Source organism: Homo sapiens, chromosome 11, assembly GCF_000001405.40.
Source record: "Homo sapiens chromosome 11, GRCh38.p14 Primary Assembly".
NCBI lineage: Eukaryota > Metazoa > Chordata > Mammalia > Primates > Hominidae > Homo > Homo sapiens.
The window spans coordinates 60,746,800-60,756,650 of record NC_000011.10 but is presented as its reverse complement, the minus strand read 5'-3'; the positions used below and the strand labels follow the sequence as shown (position 1 = coordinate 60,756,650).

Here is a 9,851-nt window from a genome sequence, read left to right as displayed (position 1 = left end):
CATACACACAGTGCCTCCGTATTTTTCCATGCCCTGACCTCAAATGCCACGTACATAAGCTTGGATATGTTGCCATGTACCCCAACACTTTAGGTGTGGCTGGCCTGGGCAAACACTTTGGGAAAAAACACCCATTACCCAGGTGTCAGGAGATGAGCTTACCAGGAAACAACAGAGTGCTGAATCTGCCAGATTATACAATGAGATCGAAAACAGTCATCCTTCTTGTTGGCATGGGTGTGTGAGGAGTTTACCAGTTCAGTGTAAGGGTCTGAGATAGAAGCCAGGGTTTGAATTCTGGCTCCTCTTGTTACTGTGAGGCACGGGAGCGAGAGGGTCACCCTCTGCCTCAGTTTCCTTACCTGTGAAATAGGGATAATACCAATCTCATAGAGTTTGGTGGGAAACACACACCAACTTGATAAAATCCATCCCTTACAACGTGACTTGTTATAACACGATGCGGCTGAGATGTTTTGTTAAATATAACATATCTAAGCCAGTGACTTACAATGGACCGTGGATGTGCATTGCTTCCCAGTGCTCTGAGACCTACTATGCATGCTCGGGAGAGCACCAGCTTGCAGATTGTGCAGCAGATTCTCTGTGGTTCTGCAAGCGCTCTTGGCTGATAAGGGCTCAGCCTCACTGTTCTGTGCTCAAAATATGTGTGTCTTCAGGAAGCCTCTGTGCCATTTATTTTGTGATAGGTCTGACCTATATTGGTGAACAAAGGGGGCAAGGGACAGCGTTGGACCCTATGCAGAGAAATAGAGCGAAAAGGACACATAGGCTCTTGAGCAAGGTTTTCAGTGACTGGAGGCACCTCCAAGGAGATGGCTGAGAAAACACAGGATAAGAATCTGCTGGCATTAAGGGGTGGGGGAAGCCATTTGACATTTTTAAGGGCTTACTAACATGGCTCCCTTCAGCCTAGGAGGTGTGACCAACACGTGATGCTCAGAGTGGATCACCAGAGGGATTGTGCTGTGACTTCCCAAATAGCACCGTCTCCACTGAGTCTCTCATTTCCAGGATCTGACACTAACCTGATTATTAGTAGACATGACAACTACTCAGAGCAGGGTTGGCAAACTTTTTTCAAGAATCAGATAGTAGGCCGGGCACGGCGGCTCACGGCTGTAATCCCAGCACTTTGGGAGGCCAAGACGGGTGGATCACAAGGTCAGGAGATTGAGACCATCCTGGCTAATATGGTGAAACCCTGTCTCTACTAAAAATACAAAAAATTAGCCGGGCGTGTTGGCGGGTGCCTGTAGTCTCGGGAGGCTGAGGCAGGAGAATGGTGTGAACCTGGGAGGCGGAGCTTGCAGTAAGCCGAGATCGCGCCACTGCGCTCCAGCCTGGGTGACAGAGCGCGACTCCATCTCAAAAGAAAAAAAAAAAAAGAGAGAATCAGATAGTAAATATTTTGGGCTTTGGGGACCCATATAACTTCGATTGCAAACACGTGACTCTTCCATTGTAGTGCAAAGCAGACATAGGCAATATATACCCAAATGGGTGTGGCTGTGTTCCAATAAAACTTTATTTATGCCTGGGTGCAGTGGCTCATGTCTGTAATCCCAGCACTTTGGCAGGCTGAGGTGGGCAGATTGGTTGAGCTCAGGAGTTTGAGACCAGCCTGGGCAACATGGTGAAACCTCACCCCTACCAAAAAAAAATACAAAAAAATAGCCAGGTGTGGTGGCACACACATGTCGCAGCTGCTCGTGAGGCTGAGGTGGGAGGATCTCTTGAGCCCCGGAGGTCAAGGCTGCAGTGACCTGAGACTGCGCCCCTGCACTGCAGCCTGAGTGACAGAGTGAGAACTTGTCTCAAACAAAACAAAACAAAAACTTATTTACAGAAACAGATGGTGAGCCAGGTCTGATCTGTGGGCTGTAATTTGCCAACCCCATTCTTAGAACACTGCCTGGCACATAGTAAACACTCATTAAATTTTAGCTATTGCTTCAACTTGCATGTCTCAGCCTCCAGAACTGTGAGGCATAAATTTCTGTTCTATATAAATTACCCAGTCTCAGGTGTTCTGTTATAGCAGCACAAAATGGACGTATTTGGAAAGACTATATAGTTTCTGAGGACATTGCTAAATATTGCCTATCCTAGTTGTTTATCTTGATTATTTGCTGTGATTTTGGGCAAAATGTGAAATGGCACTGAGCTAGTCTACATTTCCATAAAATAAAAATAAAGATACTGAAGGCTGCTCACTGTGCCTCAGTTTATTGTGAGGGTCGAAAATGGTAAGAAAGTCCTTGGAGATTGGTGAGGTGCTGTGAATGTTTTGGGGTTCACTTTTGGGGGAGGGTTTCAAGATGATGTTGCTAATGATCCTATCTCATCACTCACCTCTCTGGAACTTTCTTTTTTTTTTTTTTGAGATGGAGTCTTGCTCTGTCACCCAGGCTGGAGTGCAATGGCGCAATCTGGGCTCACTGCAACCACCACCTCCCAGGTTCAAGCAATTCTCCTGCCTTAGCCTCCCAAGTAGCTAGGACTGTAGGCGTCACCAACATGCCCAGCTAATTTTTGTATTTTTAGTAGAGACAGGATTTGGCCATGCTGCCCAGGATGGTCTTGAACTCCTGACCTCAGGTGATCCACCCACCTTGGTCTCCCAAAGTGCTGGGATTACAGGTACAAGCCACTGCGCTTGGCCCTCTCTGGAACTTTCTAAACCAATTAACAGTGATAGAGCCCCACATTGTTTCTGCACTGGTGCCAGGTTAATAAGAGCTTATCATAAACATTTTTTGAGGACTTGCTCTTTCCTAGGCACTTCAAATAAGTTATTTCTTATCCTCACAATGGTCCTTTGATAATTCCTGAAAGTTTTTTTTACGGCTGTGATAACCTCGGTTCAGGGCAGTGAAAGGACTTGCTCAAGGTGATATATCATGAAATGGCTGAGCTGGGATTCAAGTCCAAGTTTGGCCATCCGCAGAGTCTGCATCTGTGCCCCCTATTGCTGTCTCCAGTGCCAGACACAACTGTTATCTCCCTATTGTTCCCAGCCCTTACATTCTGGGTGCCTTCAAGTTTGGCATGGCCACGTGACTTGTTTTGGTTAAACCAATGCAAGTGGAAGTAAACGCATAGCTTCTGGGTGGAGCATTTAGGTGTCAGCACGTGACTCTGCAGGGCTCTTTTTCCCTTTGTCACAGTGACTATCAGTGTTCCAGGCAGAGCCTGCCTTATCCATCTGGGTCCCTGAGTGAACAGAGCCTCCAGGAGACATAGAACAGAAGGAAGAAATAAACCTTTGTTGTGTTAAGCCACTCAGCTGTTTGTTATAGCAGCATAACTTAAGTTTCTCCTGATTGTTATATTTTCCCAGAATGAATCCATACAGGAGTAAAACACAAAGTCCATGTCCTCAAAGGACTTAGAGTTTAGTAGGAGGAGCAAGAGCAGTTTGCAATTCAGTCCAACAAACAATTGTTAAGTGTTTACTATGAGCACCAAGTTCAGGGACTGGGAATGCAACGATGAATTAAGGCTGGATGTCCTGCTCTCAGAGACTAGCAAGGTAGAGGAGGCTCGGTGGGGGGAGGGAGAAGGGTTCCTGATTGTGGAACTCAGGGATGTCTTCAGGGAGGACGTGGACCCAAAACAAGGGTCCTCTGCCTGCTCCCCTGCTGTCCCCATCTCCCTTGCCCCACGCTCCTTCTCTTTCCTTTTTCTCTCTTCTTCAATCTCTTTCTTCTTCCCCACCTTCTGTGGTTTGAATGTGTCCCCTCCAAAATTCATGTTGAAACTTAATCTCCATCGTGATGGCATTAGGAGGTGGGGCCTTTTGGAAAATGGTTAAGTCATGAGGGCTCTGCCTTATTAGTAGACTCATGCCTTATAAAAGGCAGAGAGGGAACTAGCTTAGGTCCTTTTGCCCTTATGCCTTCCATCATGTGAAGACACAGCATTTGTCCCCCACGGAAGATGCCGCAACAAAGCGCCACCTCGGAAGTAAGTGAGGAATGGGGCTCTCACCAGACACCAAATCTGCTGGCACCTTGATCTTGGACATCTCAGCCTCCAGAGCTGTGAGGCATACATTTCTGAAGTTTATAAATTATCCAGTCTTGGGTATTCTGTGATAGCAGCACAAAATGGACATATCTGGGGAGACTCTACAGTTTCTGAGGACATTGCTAGAGATTGCCTTGGCTGGGAGTCCATGAACACTGGACAAGAGAAACACATGGCAGAATAATGAAGAACTTGGGGTGAGGGGGGACCCACCCCGCCCATCGGTCTTTCCCTTCCTCAGATGTAATAATGAACATTTACAGCCCGCATCTCACTCTAAGGGAGAGGCAGGCATGGATTATTACGTGTGATTTAGAGATAAGAAAACAGAAGTTCAGAGAGGACGAGTATTTTCCTTCCAGTTGCACAGCACCTCAGCGGCAGAACAGGAATGGACCCAGACTCCCATCTCTCAGTAGGAAGAGTGCTGACGTTATGGAATTCCAGTACTTTTGGGTTTGAGTCCTGGCTTTGTCAGATGAAGGAACAAATGTTTGAACTTCACCCCTGGGAGTAATAGTTCTGAAATGCTTGTTCACAGATCAGCAAATGAGAAACAAATTGGGACCAAATGAGTCTGCCAGTTTTCTACTTCCCCAAGTAAGTTCATGCAAAAAGTCATCCATGTTTTCACCATCATCTAGAAAAGATATTTTAACACCAAAGAAGTAGAAAGGACATAATTTTAAGATACAGGCTGGGCGCGGTGGCTCACGCCTGTAATCCCAGGACTTTGGGAATCCGAGGCAGGTGGATCATGAGGTCAGGAGATTGAGACCATCCTGGCCAACATGGTAAAACCCCATCTCTACTAAAAATACAAAAATTAGCTGGGCATGGTGGCGCACGCCTGTAATCCCAGCTACTCGGGAGGCTGAGACAGGAGAATCGCTTGAACCCAGGAGATGGAGGTAAGCCAAGATCGTGCCACTGCACTTCAGCCTGGGCGATAGAGCAAGACTCCATCTCAAAAAAAAAAAAAAAAGATACAAACACAAAACCTTAAAATTTAACAATTTTAACTTGGTGAGCCCCTCACCACTCTTCCCGTATAGTTGTCATTTCACCAGGGACAGGTGAACACTGCATCTGAGATCCACAGTGGTGTGTGGCAGGTTTGTGGACCTTCTGGGGTGGGGAAGGACCAGCCCCATGTGGTTCAGCTGGGCTCTTCGTGGGCTTTCAGATCAGACTGGGCCTGCGCAGCCCCAGAAGGGAGCACATGTGTAATTAACAACATCTCTCCTGGGCAAGTGGTGAGAAATTTGAGAAAATAGAGACCTTGTGATCCTCAGGAGAAAACACCTACAAAAATAGGCTCCCTGTCAACAGGCAGGTTAAGTGAAATCGTGAGCATGAAAGTGTCACATAGTTCCTGAGATTGCAAATTCCTCTCTCTTCCTAGCCCTCTGCAGCCACCACCAGCACCTCTGAACCCTGGGGCCAGGGACTAACCCATCCGCCACATTCCAGAGGCTACCTGGCCCATGCCCTGGCTCTGTGCCACCCAGAAGGAGGACTCTCTTTTTCTTACTAACCAATCAGTTAGCATGCCCAAAACACAAATGCATGCATGTCAGGGACGGACAGGTGGAAGAGGGAAAAGCCACTGTCCCCTGCCTCTAGGAATCTGCAAGATACCCACCAGAGGAAGAGCTGCCTGTAGCAGAGACACATAAAATACCTAGACATCACCAAAATGCATGTCATCACCCAATGAATGAGCAGTGGTAGTAACAGCCCCTCATATGCACAGCCCTCTCACAGTTTATAAAGAGCCGTCACCTGTATGAGACCACAGAACCATCCAGTAGCCCTGTAAGGTAAGTGTTATTCAGCCCATTTTGCAGACCAGTAAACCAAAGACTAGAAATAGCAGTGTGGGAGAATGGGACAGGCTGTGGGCCTTGAAGGCTGATGTATTTATCAGAGATGTTAAAGGGAGGTTTCAGCTGAGATCAGGTACTGAAGTGAGCTGTGCTGTAGATGGCTCAGTGGGACGTGCGGAAAGCAGGTGGCTGAGAACCTGCTAGATGCCTTTCGCACCTCCCCCATGGGGTAGGGAGTGGGGATTGAGAGTGGGTTTTGGGAGAGAACTTATAGAATCATCTGAGCACTGTATATGGGGGAGGGGGATGCGTCCTTCTTTATCTTAAGGCAGAGAGGCTGGCTTTAAGGTGACTTCTGGGAGACATTTCAATGTACAGCCTGCATAGTGGACCTGACAGTTTCCTCCTGAGTTGAGGGAGGAATTTTGTGGGGGGGACACAGGAGAGAGATCCCAAGTGTCGGGGGCATCTCCGTAGAACCCATGAAAACACCTGCAGAGAAGTCAGCTTTTCCTCTGCCAGTCTCAGGGAGGTGACGCTAGCTTCCAACAGTATCAGACAAGTACGCATTCCTACCCCGTTCCCCTCTTTCCCCATTATTCAGCCTTGGAGAGGGCAGAAGCCACAGTTAGCTGGCTGGCTGGGGAGGAGGAGGGAAATCCAGTGGGAAAAGGGAGAGGAAGCCCACCACACACCCTTTCTCACCTGCCACGTGCCCGGGCTGAGAACCGAGGGGCCCCAAATCAAGTCGTGACATAACACAAGATTGAACACTTTAATTACTAGATCACAGGTGTTTGTCTTGTCTGAGTGCAGTCAGAAAAGCCACTGGACTGCCCCAATTTCAGCCTTCTATGGTTGCTGTGAGTTTTAAAAGAGTTAATACCCAACCTCGTGCCTAGCACAGTGCCTGGTACACAGGAGGCATGCCATTGCCATGCCCTTTAGCTTCTATTATTTTAAAAACCTTATGAGGTTGGTACTATTAGTATTCCCATTTTGCAGATGAGGAAACTGAGCTCAGGACATTCAGTGACAGGCTGCCCCAGAGTCCTAGGCTGAGCTGCCCTGAGCAGCCAGGACTTGTCTTGTGAGCATGTTTATCACCTTTATACACGAAGAGCCAAAAGCAGCTTTGTTCATGGGCTGCAGCTGCTGCCTGGAATGGGGCATTACCAGCTGGAAGAGAGGGTGTCTTGGACAAAATTTATAAGCGCACATCTGGGTGGGGAGGCCCTGCACATCTGCACATCTGAGAGGAGGCAGTTTTGCTTAGTGGTTAAGCTAATAGGCCTTGGGATCAGCTTGGTAAGAATCCACCCTACTATTCAATGAGCTTAACCAGCTGCATGACTTTGGGCAAGTTGCTTAGGCTCTCTGGGCCTCAGTTTCCCCATCTGCCAGATGGGTGGCTGTGAGGGTGGTGGGTGCTCCAGGCTCCTGAGGATGCTCCATCTACTTTGCCCATTGGTCGCTGTGGCCCCACCACTTTGTGGATCAGGTGGGAATTCACCCCTTCTGTCTAAGTCTGACCCCACGGCATCTATCTGGATGCCAGAGCTGGGAGGCTGGACCCGGGTTCCTCCAATCTTAGCCCTTCCAGGACAGCCTAGACCTGCCCCACTGGCCTAGAAAGGATGCCAACAGATGCAAACACACCATGGTGGACGCAGGCCTCCCCTCCCTTCCCACTCCCCAAGCTTGGCCCCTTGGCAGGGTTCTGCTCTACGCCACTGTGCTCTCCATCGTCACTAAGGGCCAGGTGCAGGGACAGCCCCTTTCCTGCACTGGGCTTCCGTTTCTTCATCTATAAATGAGAGGTGAAACAATTTGCCCCTCGGCTTCTTTCCAGCTAAGAAGCCCTGCCGGGTCCTTCTCTTTTTCTTGCAAGGTGCCTGCATCTCAGCAGGAATCACCTTTCTGCCCAGTCCGGGGCTGGGTTGGAGTGAGGACCTACACTCCATTTCCCTGAGAGAATGGTTAGGGCCCCAGGGTCTCTAGCGGATGCCTGAGTCATCTCAGCCACTGGCTTTGAGGAGAGAAGACAGAGGCCCCTCCTTTACCCCACTCACCTGTGCAATGGGGCCCATGGGCTCTAGGCTGGTGGTTCTCTGTCTGTGGGAGGCAAGGAGTTCAGAGGGCCCCAGGAGCCGTCCAGCCCCTTAGTGCCAGGTGGGGGATGAGACGCACAGGGAGGGCCGCACCCTCCTCTGATGAGCAGCTCTATCTCTTTCCTTTCCCGGGGATCCCAGGTGCTCCTGCGCCAGTTCCCCTGCTACACCTCGGGGCTGGGCGGCCTTGACTGCCCCCCTGGAAGGGCGGAGGGTACTCACCGGGCTGCCACCGCTGCTGTGCTGCCGCTCGCTCCCGGCTGCCTCTGTTCTCCCGCAGCCAACTCTACTGAGTTCACACATATTCATGTGAAATCCTTGCTATTCGCGTGGGGCTTGGAAATCTACTCTGCTTGTGAGCTGCCGCCTCTGGGAAATTCTCAGGTCCCTCCTGGCTCAGAGGCCTCTGTCCATATGGCCCAACTGAGGGAGAGGAGGAAGCCGCTCGTGGAATCATCGGCCGCCAGGCCGCAAGGGCCCAGGGAGAGCATCTGGATACCTTCCTACAATCTACAAAAGGGGAAACCGAGGCCCAGAGAGGCAGGTTGCCTGCTGGGGTCCCCCAGTTAGCATCAGAGCTGGGATGGGGATCCAAACTAGCCTTCATCCCCCTGCCGCTGAGAGGGGGAAACTGAGTAATCAGAGGCCAACTGGCTTTCTTCCATTGGACTTGTCTAATGTTAGATTGGGGGCCAGGGAGCCCACAGCTTCCCAATGGCAGGAGCATAGGGGTGTGTGAACATAGGGGTGTGTGAACATAGGGGTGTGTGTGTGTGAGGGTGTGAGCATGTGCACACATGTGTGTGCATGTGAGTGTGGATGTGTGTGAATGTGTGTGGATGTGAGTGTGTGAGTGTGTGGATGTGTGTGATGGTGTGTGAATGTGTGAGGGTGGGCATGAATGTGTGTGCACATACACGTGTGTGTAAATGCATGTGAGGATTGAGTGTGAATGTGTGTGCACGTGTAGGTGTGAGTGTGTTAGTGTGTGCACACGTGTGTGTGCACATGCGCATGTGGGTGCATGCGCATGCATGTGAGAGTAAGGTGTGTGCACACGTGAGTGATTGTGCACAGACGTGCCAGTGCACACACGTGTGTGAGAACACCTATGGGTGAGTGTGCACACGTGCGTGTAAGTCTGTGTGCATCCATGTGCATGTGTGCATACGTATGCATGTGTGTGTACAAATGAGTGTGTGTGCATACGTGTGTGAATGTGTGCACACGTGTGTGTGCACACGTTAGTGTGAGTGTGCACATGGAGTGATATTGGAGTGGCACATGCAAGTGGAGCAAATTGTTCATCAGTTTCTGGGTTCAAGTTCTCACCAAAATTGCTCTTGATGCCCCCACACAAAGTCAGGGAGATGACACAGGACCTGAGGGCTCAAGATGGCACAGGGAATGGTCTGGATGCCCATGGCTGGGCCAGCTCTCAGTTGAACCAGCACCACACCTCTTGAAGCTAGAGATGGAGTCTCTTTTGCCAAATCCTTGAAACTGAGCTGCCTTGTGGCTTCCTTTGCCAATAGAACAAGGCAGAAGTGGCCATGTGTCAGGTCTGAGCTGCTTCTGTTCTCCCTTGGAGCTCTGCAACCACTATGGACCACTCCTGGACCAGCCTGCTGGAGGATGAGACACATGGAGCGCAGCCAAGCTGGCCCAGTTGTCCCCGCTGAGGCCCCACATATGCAGTCAAGGTCAGCAGGGCCACCTAGCTGACCCTCAGCTGAACACAAGCACATGGATGAGTCCTGCCAAGCCCAGATCAAATCAGGAAGGCTGCCCAGACAACCAACAGACTCGTGAGCAAAAATAAACGCTTCTTGTGGGATGCCTCTGAGGTTTTACAGAA

At 49.9% G+C, this 9,851-nt stretch overlaps 1 annotated feature.

Moving 5' to 3' along the window:
* Nucleotides 2,963-3,174: a silencer, noted in NCBI's record as "fragment chr11:60520950-60521161 (GRCh37/hg19 assembly coordinates)". NCBI's record gives its function as "represses an EF-1alpha promoter that drives an FKBP-Casp9 reporter gene in an ReSE screen in phorbol 12-myristate 13-acetate-treated (for megakaryocytic differentiation) K562 erythroleukemia cells {active_cell/tissue: K562(+PMA)}" and the evidence as "EXISTENCE:reporter gene assay evidence [ECO:0000049][PMID:32094911]".